At 38.6% G+C, this 26,969-nt stretch overlaps 1 protein-coding gene across 5 annotated transcripts in view, besides 1 other annotated feature; it reads left to right on the top strand.

Annotated features, from left to right (window-relative positions):
- Positions 1 to 16,754, top strand: part of PABPC4L (poly(A) binding protein cytoplasmic 4 like) — a 253,443-nt gene extending 236,689 nt beyond the window's left edge. For all 5 annotated transcript variants that reach the window (XR_001741133.2, XR_007096357.1, XR_001741139.2 and 2 more), the window contains 2 exons: positions 8,717 to 8,806; positions 16,656 to 16,754. The gene's annotated coding sequence lies outside the window, so the exon portion shown is untranslated. The remainder of the gene's footprint in view (positions 1 to 8,716; positions 8,807 to 16,655) is intronic.
- Positions 3,860 to 4,359: an enhancer, noted in NCBI's record as "H3K27ac hESC enhancer chr4:134882009-134882508 (GRCh37/hg19 assembly coordinates)". NCBI's record gives its function as "activates a minimal SCP1, AML or CMV promoter by ChIP-STARR-seq in naive H9 embryonic stem cells {active_cell/tissue: H9 hESC(naive)}" and the evidence as "EXISTENCE:reporter gene assay evidence [ECO:0000049][PMID:30033119]".
- Positions 16,755 to 26,969: the final 10,215 nt, after the last annotated feature.

Here is a 26,969-nt window from a genome sequence, read left to right as displayed (position 1 = left end):
AGGGCTTGAGTTCTTGATTTAATTTGCTGCTTGGTCACTATTGATGTGTAGGAGATTTACTACATTTGTGTACACTAATCTTGTATCTGAAAACTTTGCTGAATTATTTTGTCAGTTCTAGGAGCTTTCTGGAGAAGTCTTTAAGGTTTTTGAGGTAAACAATCATATTGTCAATAAACAGTGACAGTTTGACTTCCTCTTTACCAATTTAGATGTCCTTTATTTCTTTCTCTTCTCTGATTGCTCTGGCTAGGACTTCCAGTACTAAGTTGAATAGAAGTGGTGAAAATGAGTATCCTTGTCTTGTTCCAGTTCTCAGAGGGGAGGCTTTCAACTTTTCCCCATTCAGTATAATGTTGGCTGTGGGCTTGTCATAGATGGCTTTTATTACATTGAGGTATGTCTCTTGTATGCTGATTTTGCTGAGAGTTTTAATCATAAAGCAACACTGGATTTTGTTAAATGCTTTTTCTGTATCTATTGAGATGATCATGTGATTTTTGTTTTTAATTCTGTTTATGTGGTATATCACATTTGTTGACTTGCATATGTGAACCATCCCTGCATCCCTGGTATGAAACCCACTTGATCACGGTGGGTTATCTTTTTGATATGTGGTTGGATTCAGTTAGCTAGTACTGTATCATGGATTTTAGCATTGATGTTTATCAGGGATATGGGTTTGTAATTTTCTTTTTTGGTTATGTCCTTTCCTAATTTGGGTATTAGGGTGATGCTGACTTCATAGAATGAATTAGGAAATGTTTCCTTTTATACTATCTTGTGGAATAGTGTCAATAGGATTGGTACCAATTCTTTGAATGTCTGGTAGAATTCTGCTATTAATCCATCTGGTCCTGGACTATTTTTTTTTTGGTAATTTTTAAATTACCATTTTCAATCTCACTGCTTGTTATTGGTCTGTTTAGAGTATCTAATTCTTTCTGATTTAAGCTAGGAAGGTTGTATTTTTCCAGAAATTTATCTATCTCTTCTACGTTTCAAGTTTATGTGCAGAAAGGTGTCACAGTAGCCTTGAATGATCCTTTATATTTCTGTGGTGTCAGTTGTAATATCTCCCATTTGTTTCTTATTGAGGTTATTTGGATTTTCTCTCTTCTTTCTTGGTTAATCTTGCTAATGGTCTACCAATTTTATCTATCTTTTCAAAGACACAGGTTTTTGTTTTATTTATATTTTGTATATTTTTTTGTTTCAATTTCATTTAGTTCTGCTCTGATCTTGGTTATTTCCTTTCTTCTGGTGGGTTTGGATTTGTTTTGTTTTGTTTCTCTAGTTCCTTGAGGTGTGACCTTAGAATGTCAGTTTGTGCTTTTTCAGTCTTTTGATGTAGGTGTTTAGGGCTATCAAGTTTCCTCTTAGCACTGCCTTTGCTGTAACCCAGAGGTTTTGATAGGTTGTGTCACTATTGTCATTCAGTTTGAAGAATTTTTAAATTTTCATCTTGATTTCATTTTTGAGGAACAGGTTATTTAATTTCCATGTATTTTCATGGTTTTGCAGGTGCCTTTGAAGTTGGTTTTCAGTTTTATTCCTCTGTGGTCAGAGAGAGTGCTTGAAATAATTTCAGTTTTCTTAAATTCAATGAGTTTTTTTTCTGGCCTATCATAAGGTCTATCTTGGAGAAAGTTCCATGAGCTGTTGAATAGCATGTTTATTCTCTGGTTATTGGATGGAATGTTCTGTATATATCTCTTAAGTCCATTCATTCCAAGGTATATTTTAAATCCATTGTTTCTTTATTGGCTTTCTGTCTTGATGACCTGTCTACTGCTGTCAGTGGAATACTGAAGTTTTCCACTGTTATTGTGTTGCTGTCTATCTAATTTCTTAGGTCTATTAGTAATTGTTTTATAAATTTGGGAGGTCCAGTGTTAGGTGCATATATGTTTAGGATTGTAATATTTTCCTGTTGGACAAGACCTTTTACCATTATATAATGTCATTCTTTGTCTTTTTTAACTGCTGTTGCTTTAAAGTTTGTTTTGTCTGATATAAAAATAGCTACCCCTGCTCAATTTTGGTGTCCATTTTCGTGAAATGCCTTTTCCATTCTTTTATTTTAAGTTTATGTGAGTCCTTATGTGTTAGATGAGTCTCTTGAGGTAGCAGATAGTCAGTTGGTGAATTCTTATCCATTCTGCAGTTCTGTATCTTTTAAGTGGAGCATTTAGGCCATTTACATTTAATGTTATTATTGAGATGTGTGGTACCATTCCATTCATGGTGATATTTGTTGCCTGTATATCTTGGTTTTTTGTTTTATAGATCCTGTGTATTTATACTTTAGAAATGTTCTGTTTTGACATGTTTCCAGGATTTGTTTCAAGATTTAGAGCTCCTTTTAGTGGTTCTTGTAGTGTTGGCTTGGTAGTGGCAAATTTTCTCAGCATTTGTTTGTGTGAAAAAGACTGTATCTTTTCTTCATATATGATGCTTAGTTTCACTGGCTACAAAATTCTTGGCTGATAATTGTTTTGTTTGAGGAGGCTAAAGATAGGACCCCAATCCCTTCTAGCCCCAATCCCTTCAAGCTAGAAACTCTAGCTTTAGAATTTCTACTGAGAAATCTACTGTTAATCTCATAGGTTTTCCTTTATAGGTTACCTGGTGCTTCTGGATTGGGTTAATTCAAATAACTTGCCTTCAAGCTCTGAATTTCTTTTTTCTACTTGTTGAATTCTATTGCTGAGACTTTGCAGAGCATTTTGCATTTTTATAAATGTGTCCGATGTCTCCTGAAGTTTTTATTGTTTTTTCTTTATGCTATCTATTCCCTTGGATATTTCTCCCGTCACTTCTTGCATTGTTTTTTGGATTTGCTTGCATTGGGCTTCGCCTTTCTCTGGCGTCTCCCTGATTAGCTTAATAACTAAGCTCCTGAATTCTTTTTCAAGTAAACCAGGGATTTCTTCTTGGTTTAGATCCATTCCTAGTGAGCTAGTGTGATTTTTTGGTTGTGTTAAAGATCCTTGTTTTGTTATATTAACAGAGTTGGTTTTCTGGTTCCTTCTCATTTGGGTTAACTCTGTCAGAGGGAAGGTCTAGGGCTAAAGGCTGTTGTTCAGATTCTTTTGTCCCACGGGGAATTCCCTTGATGTAGAACTCTCTCCCTTTTCCTATGGATGTGGATTCCTGATGTTACTGGGGGGTCCTTTTTCTTATTGCTCCCAAGATGGTGGCAGGCTGCTTCCAAGATGGCGGCAAGCCCCTTGTTCTGTGACCTGGGGTTCTTGGCCTCATGGATTCCAAGGAATGGAATCTTGGGCCATGCAGTGAGTGTTATAGCTCTATTCAGCACAATTAGGACAAACCCTGGGCACTTAGCCCAGGCAGGAACAATGGTGAGCCTCTAGCCTGATTGGGAGCGGCAATGGACATGCCTCACTGGATCACAAGTGCAGCGGACACCCTGCCGTATCTGGAGGGGTGGAAGTCAACGGCGGGTCTGGGACGGCAGCAAACAGCAGTGGTGGACGGCAAGCGAAAGCTCAGCTCAAGCCATAACAAACACAGACCAGAAGAGTGTGCAGTTGCAAGATTTAATAAAGTGAAAACAGAGCTCCCATGTAATGGGAGGGGACCCAAAGGGCGTTGCCATTGCCATCTCAAGTGCCGGGGTTTATATCCTGACCATTGTCCCTCCCCCTGTGCTCTCAGGTGATAGATGATTGGCTATTTCTTTACCTCCTGTTTTTGTCTAATTAGCATTTTAGTGAGCTCTCTTTACTGCCTGATTGGTCTGGTGTGAGCTAAGTTGCAAGGCCCGTGTTTCAAGGTGGATGCAGTCACCTTCCCAGCTAGGCTTAGGGATTCTTAGTCAGCCTAGGAAATCCAGCTAGTCCTGTCTCTCACTGACAGCTGAGCTGTAGGGATTGTTATCTCTCTTCTGGGTCTAGCCACTTAGCAAGTCTACCAGGCTCTGGGCTGGTACTGGGAGTTGGCTGCACAGAGTCTTGTGATGTGAACTGTCTGTGGGTCTCTCAGCTGTGGATACCAGCACCTGTTCTGGTGGCGATGGCAGGAGGGTGAAATGGACTTTGTGAGGGTTCTTAGCTTTTGTGGTTTAATGTTCTATTTTTGGTCTGGTTGGTATCCTGCTGGGAGGTGGTGCTTTCCAGAGAGCATCAGCTGTGGTAGTAAGGAGAGCAACCAATGGTGGGTGGGGCCCTAGAACTCCCAAGAGTACACGCTCTTTTTTCAGTTACCAGGATGGATAGGGAAAGACCATCAGGTCAGGGCACGGCTATGTGTGTCTGAGCTCAGACTCTCCTTGGGCGGATCTTACTGTGGCTGCTGTGGGGGATGTGGGTGAGGTTACCAGGTCAATGGAGTTGTGTACCTAGGAGCATTATGGCTGCCTCTGCTGAGTCATGCAGGTTGTCAGGGAAGTGGGAGGAAGCCACAGTCACAGGCATCACCCAGCTCCCATGCAATCTGAAGAGCCAGTCTCACTCCCATCATGCTCCCCCTAACAGCCAAGTCTGTTTCCAGGCAGTGGGCAATCAGGGTTGAGTACTTGCCCCAGGATACCTGCCTCCCAGCTGCAAAAGAAAAGAGCTTTAGTTCTTCCCCTGCCTGCGGAGTCTGCACACCAGATTTGTGCCCTCCCCCGAGTTCTGACCAGGAGGCTTCTCGACTGGTCCAAATTATTACAAAGTTCAACTGAAGACTTCCTTCTTCCTATGGCATTTTCCTTGGGCCACTGGCCACACACCCTAAGGATCCTTGTGATGCCAGGCAGGAATGGCCTGCTTGAGGACCCAGCAAGCTCCCAGGGTCTTTCCGTTGCTCCTCTACTTCTGTATTTTGCTTGGCTCTCTAAATTGTCTCAGCTCCAGGTGAGGTCAAAATCTTGTGCTGCAAGCCAGACATTCAGTTTCCTCAGTGGGGGTGTGTGTTTGGGAAAAGAGGAACTTCCTTTCCCACTTCTGCAGTTTGGGCACTCACAGTATTTAGGGTGTCTCCTGGGTCCTTCAGGAGCAGTCTGCTTCCTTCAGAGAGTCTGTGGGTCCTTTTGGGATTCCCCATTTATTCCTACAGTCATTCTGGAGTTAAAATTCACAATGCGAATCTCTGCATGCTGCTCTATCCATCTGAGTCAGAGCTGCAATGTAATTCTGCCTCCCGTCCTCAATGATGATCCTTCTGTCCAAAAAAGAATATCGTTGACATCTGGATATAGTAATACATAGGTAGTTTGATAAACACATATAAACAGAATTATGTTATTCTTTGTAAATATTTATGTATATAAGAAATATTCATTAAGAGACATTTTAAATACGTCAGCCAATTTTGAGGACAAAGATGAAAATGAACTTCTCACCTATATGTCTCCATACCATAAAAGACTTGAACATAGCCAAACAATTTCATGTATAAACATCAACAAACCTTCACATTTATAGGCATGGCCTGGGAAATAAGCTTTTAGTACTGTCATTTAAGACTTTATGTTCAGCTTAGAATTTCAGGGTCCTGCATTTCTTCTCCCAGTGCGTGTGTGTTTTTCACATCTTCCATTCTGGGTCTCTTCATTGCGCTTATAACAATACCTAGTCTTTTAAACATGGCCTAGGAGGTACTGCATAATCTACCTATCAAATCCATCTTGTATTTTATTTTGAACTAGTCTCAGCCCACAGCACACTCTAAACACATTGTTCTTGTTTTAGTTTTCAAAAATGGTAAGCTCTCTCTTGGGTCAATTCATTTTGTTTATAGTTCACTCTTTCTGGAAATACTTCCCTTGCATACTCACATTTCTGGCTTCTTCTTATCCTTAGGTCTCATCTAAAATGTCAGCTCTGCAGAGGGGCCTTCTCATAGTATTTATCTGAAAAAGACACCTCATAGTGTTCTGTCATTGAGGCCTTTGATTTTCCTTCATTGCTATTATCACAATTTCTAATGATGTATTTTTTCACCTGTTAGGTTGTATACTCTGCAAACTTCAGATTGTGTCCTCTTGCTGATTACTATCTACTGTGACACAGCATATTTTCTGGCATACAGTGATACTTAAAGAAATTTTGCTGAATGAATGAACAAATGTATTTTGGAATGAAGCCTCTTTAACTGTCCTGGCATACTCTATTTAATCTAAATACTGTGTAACATGGGAGCCTTCAGAAATGAATACCCATAGAAACAGGAAAACCTGTATATTTTTACACAAAGTTTGATGAAGAAGTGAATAGTTGTGAAGAAGTATGATTGGACAAAGGGAGCATGATCTAGTGGTAACAAACTGGGAGAACTTAGCAAGGTCTGTTTGTTTAGTTTCTTCTCTGCATTGCTATCTGATATGGTTTGGCTGTGTCTCCACCCAAATCTCATTTTGAATTGTAGTTCCCATAATCTTCAGTGGGAGGTAATTGAATCTTAGGGGCAGTTACTCCCATGTTGTTCTTGTGATAGTAAGTGAATTCTCAAAAGATCGGATAGTTTTCTAAGGGGCTTTTTCCCATTTGCTCAGCCCTTCTCTTTCCTGTTGCCTTGTGAAGAGGTATTTTCACCTTCCACCATGATTGTCAGTGTCCTGAGGCCTTCCCAGCCAAGTGGAACTGTAAATCAATTAAGCCTTTTTTCTTTACAAATTACCCAGTCTTGGGTATTTCTTCATAGCAGCATGAAAATGGATTAATATGGTAAACTGATGCCAGGAGTAGTGGGGCACTGCTATAAAGATACCCCAAAATGTAGAAGTAACTTTGAAACTAGGTAACAAGCGAAGGATGGAATAGTTTGGAGGGGTCAGAAAAAGACAGGAAAATGTGGGAATGTTTGGAACTTCCTAGAGACTTGTTGGGTGGCTTTGACCAAAATGCTGATAGTGATATGGACAATGATGTCCAGGTTGAGGTAGTCTCAGACGTAGATGAGGAACTTCTTGGAAACTGGAGCAAAGGTCACTCTTGTTATGCTTTAGCATTGGGTTTGGAGGCATTTTGCCCCTCCCCTAGAGATCTGTAAAACTTTGAACTTGAAAGAGATTATTTGGAATTGGAACTCATGTTTAGAAGGGAAGCAGAGCATTAAAGTTTGGAAAATCTGCAGCCTGTTGATGCAATAGAAAAGGAAAACTTATTTTCTGAGCAGAAATTCAAGCAGGCTGCATAAATTTGCATAAGTAATGAGGAGCCAAATATTAGTTGCCAAAACAATGGGGAAAATGTCTGCAGGGCGTCAGAGGTCTTCATGGCAACCCCTCTCATCACTAGCTCAGAGGCATAGAAAGAAAAAATGGTTTCCTAGGCTGGGCACAGGGCCCCCTGCTCTGCGCAGCCTCAGGACATGGCACCCAGCATCCCAGGTGCTTCAGCTCCAGCCATGGCTAAAAGGGACGAGGGTACAGCTCGGGACACTAATTCAGAAGATGCAAACCCCAAGCTTTGGCAGTTTCCACATGGTGTTGAGCCTGTGGGTTCACAAAAGTGAAGAATTGAGATTTGGGAACCTCCACCTATACTTCAGAGAATGTATGAAAATGACTGGAGGTTCAAGAAAAGTTTACTGCTGGGGTGCATCCCTCATGGAGAACCTCTGCTGGGGCAGTGCAGAAAGAGAATGTGGGGTTGGAGCCCCCACACAGAGTCTCTACTGGGGCACTGCCTAGTGGGGCTGTAAGAAGAGGGCCACTGTCCTCTAGACCCCAGAATGGTAGATCCACTGACAACTTGCACCATATTCCTGGAAAAGCTGCAGACATTCAATGCCAACCTGTGAAAGCAGCCAGGAGGCAGGGGCTGTACCCTGAAAAGCCACAGGGGTAGACTGCTGAAGGCCATAGAAGCCCATCTCTTGCATCAGCATGACCTGGATGTGAGACATGGTGTCAAAGGAGATTATGTACCAACTGTAAGGTTTAATGACTGCCCCACTAGATTTCGGACTAGCATGGTGCCTGTAGACCCTTTGGGCCCATTTCTCCCATTTGGAATGGGTATATTTACCCACTGCCTCTACTGCCATTGTATCTAGGAAGTAATTACCTCGCTTTTGATTTTACAGATTCATAGGCAGAAGGGACTTGCCTTGTCTCAGATGAGATTTTGGACTTTGACTTTTGGTTTAATGCTGGAATGAGATAAGCATTTGGGGGCTGTTGTAAAGGCATGACTGTGTTTTGAAATGTGAGAACATGATATATGGGAGCTGCTGGGGGTGGAATGATATGGTTTGATTGTGTCCCCACCCAAATCACATCTAAAATTGTAGTTCCTATAATCCCCATGTGTCATTGAAGGGACACAGTGGGAAGTAATTGAATCATAGGGGTGGTTACCCCACATGCTCTTCTTATGATAATGAGTTTTCACAAGATCTCATGGTTTTAAAATGGGCTTTCCCCTGCTTTGCTCACCACTTCTTCCTGCTGCTCTGTGAAGAAGGTGCCTTTCTTCCCTTTCACCTTTTGCCATGATTGTAAGTTTCCTGAGGCCTTCCAAGCCATGTGGAACTGTGAGTCAATTAAACCTTTTTCTTTTGTAAATTACTCAGTCTTGGATATTTCTTCATAGCAGCATGAGAATGGACTAATACACTATCTTCAGAGATATGGCTGTTCCTTTCCTCCCAGTGCATAGTAGACACCCCTCACATGAGGGTTTTATGACCCGCTTCAAGAAAGAAAGGTATAAGAAGGTCAGAGAGTGACCATCCTGTTTCTGTTGTTTTCTCAAATGCCAAGGTACCATATTTGGGGGTAACTTGTCCTGAATCCTATCAGGAGATAAATTAAAGAGAAAAAAACAGCATCAAATTAAGAGCAGAAACACAGGTGAGTTTGAATCTTCATTGCTATCCTCTCCTTTTGCTATCTTTTCATGGTGTTCAATGCATCTCCTTCCCTATTATTACTTTAACACTTGTTTCTTCAAAATATAACTCTTTTAAGAGAAAATAAAGTGACTCACAAGAACCATACTAATTATAATTACATTCCTAGTGTCCCTCACTTATAAAAATTTGATTCCAAAAAGTATCCTTAAAAGTGTTTTTATTTCTAATAATAGAATCAAAGAAAGAGTTCTTTGCAAAATTAATTTAAATTTGTTTTTCAAGCATTCTGTTAAGTTAATGAGAAAAACCCTTATGATTTGAATGTTGAAATCCCTCATTTTTTTTTAATAAGTCCATTTGATTCAACAGGACTTCAAAGATGAGTAGATAAAGATGCAAATTAATTTAATAGATAAGCCACCAAAGGGCTGATTAAGAGCATTTATTGACTCTTCTTTAGCTGATTTCAAGACACATCCAATAACCAGGGGTTAAATGAAAACATAGAGACAACAGGTTTATTTTGTAAGACTCTTCAGAATAAAAAGAGAGCATAAATGGTCACATATATTTTGATACAGTCATTGTGAATGGTGCATTAATAAGTAAGTCTTTGTGTCCTAAAAATACAGGCATAACCCCCAGTACTATGGCACTGTTAATCAAATATGCATTCCAGAAACTGGCAGAAATTCTTTTGATGAGCCATTGCTGGTACTTTACAAGTTAAAAGCCATCCTCTTAATATTGTTAAATTTAATTCTCTTTTACAAAATGTAATTTTTCTCTGTCATGTTACATGAAACTGGGACTTAATTTCAAAATTTAAATTTTTAAACCTATGGATTATATGTATAAAATAGAAATACATGTAAAATGTATTCATATATTCAAATAATATTCAAATTCATAAAAGAAGTATCTGTTAATAATTGTAATAAAAATTCAGAGCTTAAGTGTTTAATTTGAAATACCTATAATCTAAACCAATCAATTAACTATTTAATAGTTGAAAATTTTAAGATCAGTATACTTTTGAATTATAAATTATGAGCATAATATTAGCATATTGACTTTAGTGCATATAATTCTTTCATTGATTATGAAGCAGGTTTAAAAAAAAATCTTTTTTTTTCAAAGCCAGTCTCCTGAATATTTCTTTCCAAAGTATTAAACTATCCCCCAGTTTTATGTAGTATGCCATGAGTAAACTGAAACAAATTGGTGAGTTCTAGATTTAATTTTTCACAATGTTCCATAAGCCTGTTTATCTTTCCCTTTTTCCTTTATTGACTTGAGTGATCAATTTTTCTCATGTTTCTGTGTTATTATCCCTTAATTACAGAGTGATACTTGTATTTTTAATATTTATGTTTGTAATAGGAACAAAAATTACCCCAGTGTGCATTGTTGGGCATAGGAAAAAATCTGGTGAGCATGGGAAACTTGAATTTGATGCAGTTTGGGTATACTGTTGGCCTTATCCACCATTCTGTCCTCCCCTGTTCAAATTCTCCATCTTTCTCTCCTGTGGGGGAACAATATCATTAACCAGCTCGTTCACTATGTACTTCTTTGATTACTATCCCCAGAGTTAAAACCTATCCTAAAGTTGGTAAAGAATTCCTAATATTCTTTTCATACAGCATCTATTTATATGTTTTAAAGCATGCCTTGTTCAATTTTGCATATTTTTAATTTTATATAAATGTAAATGTACACGGGGAAAAGCTCAAACACAGAGACTAACCAAAAATGGGAAACAAGAATTCTAGGCCTAGGGAACAAAGGAAAGAGGGAACTAAAGAGACCCCTTTGATATTCACCTGTATAGTCTGTTGGGGAGAATTCTGAAGGTTTGGAGGGACAGCCCTTAAACCACCGACAAAGAAAAACAAGAGATGATAAAGTTTTGCTGTTTTACCTGGCCCAAAGATCCCATTCATAAGTCTTTGGTCTTTTGGCCTATGTTTGGCTCAGGAGGATAGAATGTGCCAAGTTTTAATTCTCTATGTAAATGATAAAACTCCATCCTCACAAGAAGAGATGGGTTATGCTCTTTGTTGAATCAGGTAATTCGTCCCCATGTTCCCCCTTAAAGAAGGAGAAAAAGAGCGTAGTAAAGAGCGCTCACCCATTGAAAATCCCTGGGATACCCTAACATGCTTTCCCCCGACATATGTCTCCCAAAATAAAGAACAGGAAGATCAGGGGGCAAAAGGAAGGCCAGAGGAAGAGAAATCTGGCCCTTAAGGGAATTAAACCCAGTGTTCCCTTAAATCATTATCTGAACTTGAGGAAAGAATTAGAACAATGTAAGAAGGACATTAAGAATTTATGTGTTCCCTCCAAACAGCAGATGTCTGTCTAACAGGTTCCCTCTCAGAGAAGTCCCTATGGGACAGGTAGGAGTTGCATTTGTGAGTGTGCCTTTAACAAGTACTGAGGTTAGAAATCTTAAAAAGGAAATGAGGCCACTTCTAAAAGATCCGCTTGGTTTAGCAGAACAGCTAGATCAATTTTTAGGATGTAATCTTTATAGTTGGGCTGAAATAATGTCAATCATGAATATTCTGTTTACTGGGGAAGAGAGGGGAATGATTAGAAGGGCAGCCATGATCATTTGGGAGAGAGAGCATCCTCCCAGGCAATGAGTCCTGCCATCTGGGCAGAAATTCCCAACTGTATATCCCAAATGTAATAATAATGACCCCAGGAATTGGGCCCAAATGCAAGATTTTAGGGAAGTAATAATTAGGAGGATTCAAGAGTCCACTTCTAGGACACGAAATGTCTTGAAAGCATTTGAGATTCAGCAAGAAAAAGAAGAGACTCCCTCTGAGTTTCTGCAGAGGCTCAGGGATCAAATAAGAAAATGTTCAAGATTAGATACAAAGGACCCAGTAGGGCAAGATCTTTTAAATGTTAATTTTGTAACTAAAAGCTGGCCTGATATTACTAAGAAACTACAAAAGATTGATAGACGGAATGAGAAACCAATTGAGGAATTACTGAGGGAATTTCAGAAGGTTTTTATTAAGAAGAGAGGAAGATAGACAGAAACAAAAGGCAAAGATCATGGTTTCCACTGTAGAGGAAGTAGTTAGAAATAGTTTAAATCAAGACCCCTCTTGGAGAAGATGAGAGAATACTAGGTCTCAGAAAAGAGACAGGAGGGAAATAAAGGGAACAACTCCAAAGACTGCAAGTGGATGTTACAAATTTGGAAAACCAGGACATTTTAAGAGAGAATGTCTGGAATGGAAAAAGGAAGAGAATGTGATCCCCTTTATGAATTTTGATGGAGAATAGGGGTATCAGTGGTTCTTTCTGAGCAGGTCCCACCAGGAACCCTTGATAAACTTGAGGGTGGAACCAGAAGGGGAAAAAATAAAATTTTTGATAGACACTGGAGTGGCTTGCTCCTCCCTAATGTACCAACCAAGGGGCACAGAACATTCTAGGGAAAAGTTAACAGTATCGGGGTGAAGGGGGAGGGATTTTAGTTTCCAATATTTAAGAAAGTGTTAATTAGGCTGGGATCAGAACAAATTAAGTGGTCACTCCTATATGTCCCCGACGCAGAAACTAGCTTCCTTGGTTGAGACCTGATTATTAGATTAGGTTTAGGATTAGGAGTAGAGGAGGGGCAAATAAAAGTAATGATAAGGCCTCCTAACAGAGGAGGGAAAAAGTAAAATTAATCCCCTCGTGTGGGTTAAGGAAGGCAACAGGGGAGGATTAAAAATCACACCCTTACAAATTGAACTAAAACAACCACGAAAAATAGTTTTCAGAAAAGAATATCCCATATTCATTAATGGGAGGAAAGTTCTTCAACCAGTAATAGAGAAATTAATTAAAGATGGACTATTGGAACCCTGCATGTCACCATACAACACTCCAATTCTCCCGGTCAAGAAACCAGATGGGTCACATAGATTAGTGCAAAATCTAAGGGATATAAATCAAAGTGTCCAAACTCACCATCCTGTGGTGCCTGACCCCTATGGCCTCCTTAGTAAAATATCCTATGAACATAAGTGGTTCAGTGTAATGGATCCAAAAGATGCATTCTGGGCGTCCCCTAGACTCTAAGATTAGGACACTCTTTGCCTTTGAATAGGAAAATCTCATAACTGGGAGAAAGCCACAGTACCAATGGACTGTGCTGCCACAAGGTTTCATGGAAGCCCCAGACTTATTTGGTCAAGTCTTAGAAAACGTCCTGGAGGAATTCCAACCTTCAAGAGAAACCCAGTTGTTACAATATGTGGATAATCTTCTAATTTCGGGGGAAAGAAGGGCCGTGGTATCAGCAGCTACCATAAGCTTGCTTAGTTTCCTAAGGGAAAGGGGATTGTGAGCCTCCAAAAACAAATTGCAATTTGTAGAAAAAGAAGTTAAATATTTAGGACATCTAATTGGTGACAGAAAGTGGAGAATAAACTCAGAAAGAATATTGGAATAGTGGGTCTGCCCTTGCCTAAGACAAAGAGAGAACTCTGAAAAAATTTCAGGTTTAACTCATTACTGTAGGTTATGGATTAACTCATAGGCTCTAAAGAAAAAGATTCTGTATTTTAAGTTACTAGAAGGGGAACCTGACCCTTCTAGTAACTTAATGGGGTTACCCTTCTAGTAACTTAATGGTCCCCATAGGGGACCCCATTAAGGCAATGGAGGATTTAAAGCAAGCCCTCATCCCAACCCCAGTCCTGGCTCTCCCATCTTTAGAAAAAATGTTTCATATGTTTGTAACAGTAGACCAGGGTGTGGCCCTTGGGGTGTTCACTCAAACCTGGGGTCAGAAGAGGCAACCTGTTGCTTTTATCTCCAAGCTTCTTGATCCTGTCTCTAAAGGGTGGCCCAAATGTGTGCCAGCAGTAGCTGCCAAGGCCCTGCTGGTAGAGGAGAGTCGAAATCTGACCTTGGATGGGGCCCTGTTAGTGAGCACCCCGCATCAGGTTAGGAGTATATTAAATCAAAAAAGCTGGGAGATAGTTTACTGATTCCCAGATTCTAAAATATGAAGCCATATTACTAGAAAAGATGATTTGGTCTTAACAACAGATACTTGCTTGAATCCAGCCAGTTTCTTATGGAAAAGAGAGAAGAATAAAGAGGCATCAAACCATAACTGTTTAGATATCATAGAATATCAAACCAAAGTTAGACCAGACCTTAAAGAAGCTCCATTACATGATGAGATAAGGCTGCTTGTGGATGAGTCGTCCTGAGTGATAAATGGCAAGAGACAATGGCTATGTTGTCATTAATGGAAAACAAACAAACAAAAAAACAAACAAACAAAAATAAAAAACAATCCTTATGTAAGAAAGGTAGCTTATCTAATGGCTGGTGAGCCCAAACCTGTAAATTATATGCTCTTAACCAGTCCCTAAAGCTCCTACAAGGCCAAGACAGCATTATGTATACTAATCCCAAATATGCCCATGGAGTGATACAAACCTTTGGAAAGATCTGGACAGAGTAGGGCCTAATAAATAGTAGGGGAAAATAATTGTTACAGGGGAATGGGTCACACAAGTTTTCAGTAGCCTCTTGCTTCCAGCAGAGGTAACACAGTTCATATAAATGGCCATCAAAAAGGGAACACTATGGAGGTTGTAGTCAATAGGCTTATGGATGTAGCTGCTAAGCAAGCTTCCCTGGAGGAAAAAGTTAGACTATTTAGCCTAATTCCAGATATCTCTAAGGTAGTATTAAGCCCCAATTTTCCAAACAGGGGAAAGAGGAACTGGGCAAGATAGGGGCCGCTCAAACTGAAGATGGAAGATGGGTGCTCCCTGATGGGAGAAAAATGATAAGTAAACCCATAATGAGAGAACTAATGTTCATGCTGCACAAAGGAAGTCACTGGGGTCCCCAGCATATGTGTCATGCAATATTGAAGAATTATGGGTATATAGGGATTTATATCCTTGTTAAAAAAGTATGTGGAGTTTGTGTGATCTGCCAAAGAATAAACAAAACAGTAGTTAGAGCACAGACTACTGAAGGAAAACCTCCCGGGTTAAGACCATTTCAAAACATGGAAGTAAATTTTACAGAAATGCCAATAAAAGGGAGACTAAAGTATCCACTAGTAATAGTAGACCACCTCTCTGGCTGGGTGAACACCTTCCCTCTCCCAACTGCAACCTCCAAGAATGTCATCAAAATCATTTTAAGACAAATTATACCCAGATTTGGCTTGGTGAAAAATACCGATTCAAACAATGGAAGCCAGTTAAACTCGAGGATGCTAAGGGGAATTATGGAAGTTTTACACATCAGATAAGATTACCACACCCCTTGGCATCCCCCTTCCTCTGGAAAGCTAGAGAGAATGAATCAAACTCTCAAAGGGCATATTAGCAAACTCATCTTAAAACTAAAATGCCTTGGACAAAATGTCTCCAAATAGCACTCCTTAGGATTAGGACAACCTCAAGGAAATACCTGGGATTGTCCCTCTATGAGTTAATATATGGACTCCCGTATTTAGGCAGGGCTACTGACCTTCCTACTATGGAAACTAAAGACCAATTATTAAGAAACTATATACTGGCCATATCCTCTACCCTGTCATCCCTTAAGTTAAAAGGACTTCTGACTCAAACTCTGCCTCTTGAGTTCACAGTCCACTACTTCCAGCCTGGCAACTTGGTGCTAATTAAGACTTGGAAGGAAAACAAGCTCCACCCAAACTGGGAAGGTCCCTAACAAGTGCTCCTGACCACGAAGACAGGAGTGCAAAGAGCTGAATGAGGGTGTACTCATTATACTCGGGTCAAGAAACTGGTAAAAGAAATCCTAGAAAAAAGTAAAAGGGGCTAATAGGAAATGTATAAATCACTTAAGGAACCCTTAAAGTTAACTCTGAGAAAAACCTAGAAGGGAACTATGAGAGAGCCCCTTCACTGGGGGTGGATATGATTAGGATTAATCCTAATACAAGGTGTGAAAGAAAGCCCGAGTATTGGTTGGGGCCTAGTGGTGGAAAGTAGGGAATACCTAATCAAGCTGATAATCAACATAACTAGGGCCTCCACCCCTGAGACCCTAAAGTTTGATGCCTGCCAAGTCACCTTGTGGAAATTTTAAAAAACCAAAGGCAGTTGTCATAAGCAGACAAATATTTATGTTCTGAAATGGGCTGCTATTGGGGAAAGCCCTGTGCTAGCTGGAATGAGGTCTGGTGGACCACTCAATTTCAAGGTTGGGTGAGTCATTCTTCCAAAAACAGAACTTTAAGGGATAAAATACATATATATAAGGGCCCCCATGCCACACAACTGTGAAAATTTAGAATGGAATCCTATATCAATCACAATAAACTAGCTACTTTAGACCAGGAACCTTGGAGGTATGGATTAGGAATAGATATCTCAGGAAGGGATCTCATGGAATGGTTAGCTCTCAGGCTATTCACCAACTCAAACTTGAGCTCACCCAGGGTTACTATAACTCCTAGTCCCATGACTTCCTTCAACTCACCAGGCAATAACCCTGAGAGAGTAAAATTAATTAAGATAACTGATCTCAGACAAACTTTAAAAATTGAGACCAGATATGGGGATGTAAATGTTGGGTTCAATGGGTCAAATTTTTGGTACTAGCCCTCAACAAAAGCGACTGTTATGCATGCTCTGCTGAGAGGCCTCAGGCACAGGTGGTTCCATTTCCCCTAGGATGGAATACCAATTCGAAAAGAATGTGTTGTATGTTGGCTCTATACCAGGACAGGAATGCATGGGGAAATAAGACTTGCAAAAGTCTATCATTGCTCTTTCCCACCTTGCAAAGATCAGACCCTAAAGCAATCTTCTCATTCTCCATAGGGAATATGAATCACTCCTCTTGCCTCTCTAGGCAGGGGACATAGTTCTATAAGCCCATGGGAGAACTCTCAACTTGTACCCACATCCTAAACATGACTGGTGAGTAAAACAAGGTAATTTCTTGGCTCTTCATATACCCCAGGCTGATATCTGGTGGTATTGTGGGAAGAGAAACCTCCGTGACCTGTTACCATCCAATTGGACCAGGATTTGTGCCTTAGTTTAGTTGGCCATTCCATTCACCCTGGCATTCCATAAGATCTCTGAGAATTCACATGGCCACCGAAGTTGGAGAGATTTAATAAATTATTTGAATCCCAACATTTATATTAACTCAATAGGAGACCCTAGAGGAGTACCTAATAAATTTAAGGGCCAAAACCAAATAGCTGCAAGGTTTAAGTCAGCACTCTTCTGGTGCTCCACTATTAATAAAAATGTGGATTGGATTAATTACTTCTATTATAATAAAGAAAGATTCATCAACTATACTCAAGACACTCTCAAAGGAGTGGCTAGCCATTTAAATGCCACCAGCTGAATGGCCTGGGAGAACAAACTTGTGTTAAACACAATCCTAGCAAAGAAAGGGAGCATATGCATTGTGCTGGGTGTAAAAATGTTGCATTTTCATTCCTAATAATACTGCCCCAGATGGAACAATCACAAAAGCATTGCAAGGGTTAACAACTCTAACCAATAAATTGGCAGAAAATGCTGAAATCAATAACCCATTTACTAATTGGCTAGAGGGTTGGTTCGGGAAATGGAAAGGAATGGTAACTTCCATTCTAACATCTCTTATAATAATGGCTGGAGTTCTAACAGCTGTAGGGTGTTGCAATATCCCCTGTGTTAAAGGGTTAACAGTAATGAATAAAAACAGCCGTGAGCAAACAAATGTCAGTAACGTATCAACTGTTATTGGGGTAAAAAGAAAAAGAGAAGGGAATTAAAGGAAATAATGTGTATGATGGTCTGTTCCCAAGACAAAGTGCCTTGAATTAGCTTGAGTCTGCAAACTACAAAATGACAGGATATACTAGGCCCCTGCTTTGATAGCTGGCACCTGCTTATTGGGGGCCCCCCTTAGTTGCCCTCACCCAAACCAAAAAAGTTTAGCCTGAAATAAAACTTTACTAGCCTGCAAAATAGCTCACTTTATCTCCTCTTACCAGCTTGCCTGACTACCTAGGTCATAAGTCAAAAATACTTGAAAAGCCCCTAAGTTGATTATAATTGCAATGCATTGTGGGTTTCAACAAAATGCAGTGAGACAACCCTAAAGATGACACGCGAAAGCCCCTACCTAACAACCAATAGGTGACGTATGGGAAGATTGTGACCCCACAGTACTCAGCCTATGAAGAACTAGGGGAAGGACCTGTAAACTAGGGGATAAATTGCTTGTTGTAATTGTGCTGGATGTGACTTCACATCAGACACCCTATCTTGCAAGACTGTCATTAAAAGTCTTACTTCTACTTTCCTCCATGTCTGTGAATCCATTCTTTGGGTTTGGATGGGTGAGTTTGTTTCTCAAAGCCTTTTACAAAATAGTGGATATTTTGGGTTATTTCCAGTCTGCGCATTATCAGGGTATTAAACCTGTGCTCCAAACCTATAATTCTATTCCTTGCTTGGCTTTGTGATTCTGGGACTGAACTTTCCTTCTTTTCTTTTCTTTTCTTTCTTTTTCTTTCTCTCTCTTTCCTTCCTTCCTTCCTTCATTCCTTCCTTCCTTCCTTCCTTCCTTCCTTCCTTCCTTTCTTCCTCCCTTCCTTCTTCCCTCCCTCCCTCTCTCTCTCTTTCTTCTTTCTTTCTTTTCTTTATCTTTCTTTCTTTCTTTTTTTTGATGGTGTTTCACTCTTTTTGCCCAGGCTAGAGTGCAATGACGTGATATCGGCTCACCGCAACTTCTGACTCCCAGGTTCAAGTGATTCTCCTGCCTCAGCCTCCATAGTAGCTGGGATTACAGGCATGCACCACCACACCTGGCTAATTTTGTGTCTTTAGTACAGACGAAGTTTCTCCATGTTGGTCAGGCTGGTATTGAACTCCCAACCTCAGGTGATCCACCTGCCTCGGCTGAACTGCACATTTTTCTTTGCCAGCTGACTTCAGTTAGATTCAATTAATATGAGTTGTTATAAGGCAACTACAAATTAGAGGAGGGAGAATAGACTTGCTTTTTCCTATTAGTTTTCTGTTGCTTACTTGAGCTTCCTTTCAGCATCATCTTACCAAGTATCTTGTACTCAGCAATGGAAATTCCTTCCCACCGCAGTAGTTAGATCTGCTTTTACCCAAACTCCAAAAAACTAGCCTTATTCTGTCCCTTCAAAGACACCAGCACCAGATAACTGATGCCTCCTCCTGAGAGGTTTAGAAACAAGCCAAGCCCTCCTTCAGAGGGTTCAGCTACATGTTGGGTATGCAGGGCCTCCACCCTAATATGTTGATATTAATACGTTCCATCTCTTCCATTTTGTACTCTTTAGTCCTAAAGATGTTAGCTGCTTCCTGCAGTTTCTTCCTTTGTGAAAACTTTATATTCTCTTTCTGCCTTGATAGGTATCAATCTAGTTTACAAAATTATATATAGTTAATAATTTTTATATTTAATTCTCTCTGTTAAAGTAACTGGAGTGATGCGCATATCCTGATTGAAACCTCATGATTTTTTAAAAAACATTGCTAAAAAAATCTTTGAGCATTATTATAAATGCACATTTTTTTTTTTTTAGACGGAGACTTGCTCTGTCACCCAGGCTGGAGTGCAGTGGCACGATCTGGCATCACTGCAAGCTCCGCCTCTGGGTTCCCGCCATTCTCCTGCCTCAGCCTTCCAAGTAGCTGGGACTACAGGTGCCCGCCACCACACCTGGCTAATTTTTTTGTATTTTTTAGTAGAAACGGGGTTTCACCGTGTTAGCCAGGATGGTCAAGATCTCCTGACCTCGTGATCCGCCCACCTCTGCCTCCCAGAGTGCTAGGATTACAGGTGTGAGTCACCGCGCCTGGCCTAAATGCACATTTTAAATAATTCCTCTAGTGCATAGTCTAAGAGTGCAGTTGGATCCTAGGTTGTTCACAGGTTTAACTACAAGATAATTACCACTCCTTCTACAATGTGGTTTTGCCAATTACACTTCCAAAAGAAAGTAGTAAAGCAGAGTTCACTGTACTCAATCTTCTCCTCAACACTGATAGTCCACCAGTTTTTTTGTTTGTTTGTTTGTTTGTTTGTTTTTAGCTAAGTCTTGTTCTGTCACCCAGGCTGAAGTGCAGTGGTGCAATCACAGCTCGTGGCTGCCTTGACCTCCCAGGTTCAAGCAATCCTCTCACCTCAGCCTCCTAAGTAGCTGAGATGACAGGTGCATACCATTATGCCTGGCTAATTTTTTGATTTTTTTTTTTGTAGAGACAGAATCTCCCTTTGTGGCCCAGACTGACCTCAAACCCCTGGGCTCAAAGTGTCCTCCCATCTCAGCCTCCCAGAGTGCTGGGTTTACAAGGGTGAGCCACTGTGTCCCTTTTTTTCTTCTAGTGGTTGTGATATTATATAACATTGTCCCTTTAATATGTGTTCTTTACATTATAATGAGCTTGGATGTATTTATACATACAAAAACATTTTATGTTTTAGTGGTGGTACTTGAAATTAAATGATGGTACATACACAGGAATCGTATCTGTGCTCAAATCATCTCATCCCTGAGTTCAGCACTGCAGTGGAAACACCGTTATTATAGAGGGTAAATGATGTTTGTAGACTTTCACACAATGCAGCCAATGTAGGTTCAAAGGTAAAAAGAGTTGGTAAGATGAAAGAGAAAGAATTTTAGAAGAGAAAACTCTGCCATGGGTCAAGTAAGAATTTCAAAGAGAAATGACTCCATCCATTTTCCTCAAAGGTAATAGTACAGGAGGGCTTTTGAAAGGTAGGGAATAAGCCTGACTAATGACATTTGTAATGCACTCCCTATTTTAAATCCATTGACAGCATTTCCAGAACCAATGTCTTATGGAAAACTGAGGCCATTATGTTGCTTTTGTCTGCATTCACTAAACATTGGCTTCTCTCTCCAGTATTTTTTTGAGAAAACAACTATGTCTCAGATGCACACGTGACCACTACTAAAGGAAAATCTTAAATGGGTTAGCAGTGAAATTAAGTTCTGCAAATATGAAGATAATAGAGCTAAAATGATGATATTGACACTTTGACATTTAGTTTACCCAGTTATATTTTGTCCTAATCCTAGAAATGTTAAAACATTTCATCATTATTCAAATCAGTGAAGGATGTGCATTAATTATACATAGACATCATCAACACTGGGAATATAGACATTGCATCAAAAATAAGATCTCCAAATCTCCTCTACTCATAAAATTCTCTTTGAAATCAAAGTTCAAAGCATGAGAATATGATCCATGTGTGTGTGCCAAGACCAAGGTTTTCCTGTGCAGAAAGTCAGTTATTACTTCTAATATAATTTTCGCAAGTGTACTAGAAACAAAATGCAGAGCCTTGGAGATTTACTACGTGTTATTCCAACATTTTGGTAAACTATTCACAAGTCATTTATGAGATGAAAGCCATATTTTAGGAACTAAGAAACATTTATTTTTGAACAGGTGATTAAGCTACCTAGCAGAGATGTTAACTTTCTTCATGGTGACAATGAAAAAGAAAAATATTTCTAGCTATGAAGCTTGAATGTCAAAAAGTAATATCAAGTCAGACACTTGTTATTTTGATACAAGAGTTTATGACATAGCTTCTCAGTTTCCAAGGCTTATACTCTGTAACTGATGTGAATGTTGAGGAAGCAGGTCTAGATTTCAAGATTCATTTGATCTTCACAAGACAGTAATATCACTCCATGCATTGCTTTGGTTTCATGCCTTGGTGTCCAGGTATTCTCCATACAGTGTGTGTTCATGTGTTCTCCTTCTCCATCTGATGCACAGCTTCAGGAAGCCTATTTTGTATCATGGCCACCCTGTGGTTTACCATGCCTTCCTCTCTTTCCTAACTGACAAACAGATGTGACAATAACTCCTTCATTTTTCTGGGAGGAATCTGTGACAGAAGTGTGCCTTGGACAGTATAAATCAAAAATAAAATTCTAAGATTCCCCAACTGACTGAATAGACCCCTCCTCTTAGCCAAGGACATTCCAAAGTTAACCTGAAAAACAAGTTTAGGCCATGATTGGAAAAGGGGTTCTAACGTGCCACATTATACTCTACTGCCTTTGGAATTCAACCTCAACTACCAGCATTAACATTAAAACAGAGATCTTAAGACTGACAAAACAGACTCTGTGTAGCAATAAGATGACAAATTCCAACCTGACTCTAGTATAGCATCACATGACAGGTAACAGACCCTGAAAGAAATCACACTAGCTTTAATGTTATATAATTCCAAAAGCACAAATGTCATAATTTTCAAAGAAAGACTAATAGAAACAAGATTAGGGATTCTGAATTAATTTGAATGATCAAAACTATTTCATCTATTTTTCCATTAGACAAAAGAAAGAAAAAGAAAGAAAGAGAGAAAGAGAGAGAGAGGGAGAGAGGGAGAGAGGGAGGAAGGGAGAGAGGGGGAAAGGAAGGAAGGAGGGAAGAAAGGAAGGAAGGAAAGAAGGAAGAGGAGAGAGAGAGAGAAATGGAGAAAGAGTAACTGAATACAATTTGTATATGTAATTTTTCATATTTGAATTTTTCTGGAAAATAATTGCATTTTGAATTGAGAAACTTACTAAAAATTTTACTTCAGCAAGGTGACATCCATTGCATACATCCCTTATGTAAACTTTACCAGATCTGCATTTTTACTAACAGTTGCTAAAAGCAGTACATACACAGGGAGCAGTGCTACCCCCTGAGCAAGTTCTCTCTTTCACTGACCTTAGTTTTCTAATTTCTACTGCTGTATATTCAGAATCATTTACTTACGCTATAATTACTTTATTTGTTATAAAAATAATAATCATAAGATTTTGCTTGTATTGATGACAGGGAAAATAAGCAATAATTATTTTATTGCTGCTATCACTTAATAGAGTCACTATGTGCTAATGTGTTAAGTAATTTTTCACAATTTAAGTATTTTTCTAAATATCTACAGTTTAACTTAAGTTTTTACAAATATTAATTAGGATTTTTTTTTCTGTAGCAAATGTGGTAATCAAGTCTGATGTAGAAAGAAGAAAAATACAGAACTCTTGATAGTTACCTGGAACAAAAACTACAAATTATTAGGGTTCTAGTACTAGTATTAAAAAATCTAATGTTTTCTTCTACCCTTGATTCATTACGTTTAAAATTCAAAACTTCTGGAAAGAGATCTTAATTGGCTAAATCTAGGCTACATGGCTTCACCTTGACTTTTCTGGGAAGCCAAATCTGCAAGATCTCCAAAAGTTTCCAGATACTAGGCTGGATACCTTTCACACTGTTTCACCAAGATTAGCTATTTGGTTATAGAAATCTATATTTTTAAATTCTTATCATAGTTCATTGTGAATCTAGATCATATAAAATAGATATACTGTATATCTTCAGCCATACTTAAACACTTTACTAATATATAACTTTAAAGATATATTGACATAAGACTGAGAAGCAGAAAATTGTGGGGAAGTAAGAAGAGAAGACATATAGTAACATATTTAGCTTTTCAATTAATTTCTTTCATTTTATTCATCATTAAAAGTTTAGCTTTTTTTTTTTTTTTTTTTGAGACAGAGTCTCACTCTGTTGCCCGGGCTAGAGTGCAGTGGCGTGATCTTGGCTCACGGTCACCTCATGGGTTTAAGTGATTCTCCTGCCTCAGCCTCCTGAGTAGCAGGGACTACAGGCGTGTTCCACCATGCCCGGCTAATTTTTTGTATTTTTATTAGAGATGAGATTTCACCGTGTTCGCTAGAATGGTCTCAATCTCCTGACCTCGTGATCCGCCTGCCTCGGCCTCCCAAAAATTTAAGCATTTTTAATGAAATATTCTTTGGGTTCATGGTTTTAACTATTACATACTGGTATATCACAAATACGTATGTTGCTCTACATTGCTGGGTTTTGTTTACTTGTTGATTTTAGGAGTACCCTACATGAGTGTCAGGAATTGAAAACTTGAAAAGAAATATCACATATTTCTTTACCTTTATACTGAATTAGACAATCCTCTCAATTATGTTATTACTGCAATTGCAATATATCATTAAGTTGATATATAACTCATTCCCACTTAACTCTTGTTACAATTATCTTACAATCTATGACATATTAGAACTGATAAAATATAGTATAGTCTAGAACCATTGGCCATTAGGTATTTAGGTCATCTCTGAACTGAAAATAAAGAGCTGGAGGGGCTAACTCAACATGAGTTAATTTAATATTGTGAAGGCTAGAAATTAGGCTCATTCAAAAAACCAAAGAAGCAAGGATCTACTTTCTTATTGTAATGAATGTCTAAGGAGATGTAATACCATTCAAAAAAACCTCTTGCCCTAATAGATATTTATGTAAAAACATTAGGACAGTATTTCCCCTTCTAGGATCATTGGATGTACATGATTTCTGTATGTCACCCTCCAAATAAAACAAATGACTCTAGACATCATATATAAACCAAACATAAGAAGATTCTGAATGAGAAGAAGAAAACAGATCAGCTAGAGACCCAAGGAACAACACAGTCAATAGGTTGTCTCACCTATCTGTTTGCCAGTTTCTTCAGCTCCAAGTCTGGAATCTGTCAACACCAATTGGAGCTGACAAAAACCTCCTTCAAATCTTGCTCTTTACAGTCAAAGGACCATGAAAACGGAAGTCTAGCAATACAAAAAATCTTTTAGAGAATAACCTCTCTATTCCAGACAGATACCACAGAAAATTTTGTGGGTCAAAACCCACTCATGTCAGCAAAGGCTGAACGGGGACTCAGACTTCAATGCTTGCTAAGCAGTAACAAAGTACTGCAACTCTCCCCTTGGAGTGGCATTAGAGATGGCAGAGTAGGGAGCCTGGACTTTCATTCCACCAGATATTAATGAGGCCACCTCTTCACATTTCAGTGGAGACCAGACAAAGAGCCTGGACTTCCACTCTTAACCTTCAGTAGTGAGATACTGCCACCTTCACTAGGGTGATATAATATCTATCCTAGTGAATAGTAAGGAATTATACATAGACCGGTGGTTGACAGGTGACTAAACTCCTCTCTTGTTCTGTCACTGGAGGACACATGGGGAACAGTAACAAGGCATTCCTTTCCTTCCAGTCAGGTATCATTGGAGGCCTATGAAGGAGAACTGCCATTACTCAGGAGTAATGATGGTTCTCCCTCATTGGGTGTCAAAAGAAGCAAAATAAAAAATCAGCTTCTACTACAAGAGTTCAAAGGAAGCCAGTTAAAAAAGAAGGTTTAAATACGATCCAGGGTCTTATAATATGCATTGTAAATATCTAAATCTCAATAAACAATTAATTGTCATAGAAGAATCAGAAAAATCTCATATGGAATAAAGAAAGATAATAAATAGATGCAACACTAAGAGTAGAGGGATAATATCATTAGCTTTAAAGGTTTTGAAGTAGCCACTATAAGAGTGCTAACATAAGCAATTTATAAACGTTTGAAATAAATAGAAAACAAAGTCTCAGCAGAAGAAAAGATTTTCTTAGTAATGATATGGGAGAACCAAACACAAATTTTAGAACTGAAAAATATAATACCTAAATTTTAAAAACTCAATTAATAGGCTCAGAGCAAAATTGGGAGGATAAAAGAGAAAATCAATGAACTGGTAGATAAAACAACAGAAATTCATTCAATCTGAATAACAAAGAGGAAACAGATTTAAAAAAAAAACATGTTTTCAGAGATCTGTAAGACTATAACAAAAGAATGACATTTGTGTCATCATGGTTCCAGAAAGATAAGAAAATAAGGACGGGACTGAAAAAAAGTTCAAAGAAATAATGACTGAAAATTTGGCAAAAGATATCAATCTAAAGATTAAATAAGCTAAGTGAAACACAAACAAGATAAACACAAAGAAATCCAATTCAAGTCACATTATAATGACACTTCTGGCAACTAAAGGCACAGAAAAACTTGAAAGGAGCAAGACAGACATGACATCCTACTTCTATGGGAAAAAACAATTAAAATGATAGTGGATTTCTCTTTTAAAGGCTAGAGACCAAAATGAAATGAAGTAGCATTTTAAAGAAAGTAATTGTTGGCTAAAATCCTATAGCCAGTGAAAATAAACTTCAAGAATGAAAGTAAAATCAAGACCCTCTAAGATGAAGGAAAATTAAAATAATTTGTTGCCAACAGATATAACCTAAAATAATAGCTAAGTGAAATTCTCTAAGCAGAAAGGAAATGAGAAAAGAAGGAATCCTGGAACATCAGTAAAGTACACAATAAGCAAAAACAAAGAGTAAAGACAGTAGATTCCCTCCTCTTGAATTTTCTGAATTATATTTGTTGATGGAAACAAATTTTAACAGTGACATGATTCTAAATGTATTTGACAGTTTTAAATAAGGGAAGGCAAAGGAATGTAAAGGAAGTAAGGTTTCTAAACTTTGCACAAAATAATAAAATAAGAAAAAATTAAAAAGCAAAGAGGCAAACTGAAATCCAAAATTCAAATGGAATGATTAAACCCTCATATATCAATAATTTTATTAAACATAAATATGTAAATGCAGCAAATAAAAGATGAAGATTCACAAAGTGGATTAAAAAATATGCCTCAACTACCTTCTGTCAACCAGAAACTGAAACTCACTTCAAATATAACAGTATAGACAAGTTGAAAGTAAAAAAAAAATGAAAAAAGTTTACTATGCAATACTAACCAAATGAAATGAGTATTGGCTACTAAGTACACGTTAGAGCAAAGAAAACTGCCAGAAACAAAGAGGGCATTATACAATTATAAATGAATGACTCTTCCAAGAAGACCAAGCAATCCTAAACCTATATATATCAAATACATAGCTAGAAATATATGAAGCAAAAACTAAAATAAATGAAAGTAGGAATAGAAAAATTCATAATTATATTTGGAGACTTTAACACCCCTCTCTCAACAATGTATAGACAGAAAACCTGCAAGAATATACATCTTAAGACCATCAACTAACAGGATCTACTCAACATTCATAAAACATTCCACTCAACAACAGCATAATAAATATTCCTCTTAAGTGCCTCTAGAGTAAATACCAAGACAGAGCCAATTTTGGGTCATAAAACAAACCTCAGCAAAT

The sequence above is a fragment of the Homo sapiens genome, chromosome 4 (genome assembly GCF_000001405.40).
Source record: "Homo sapiens chromosome 4, GRCh38.p14 Primary Assembly".
NCBI lineage: Eukaryota > Metazoa > Chordata > Mammalia > Primates > Hominidae > Homo > Homo sapiens.
This window is presented reverse-complemented; position numbering and strand designations above follow the sequence as displayed.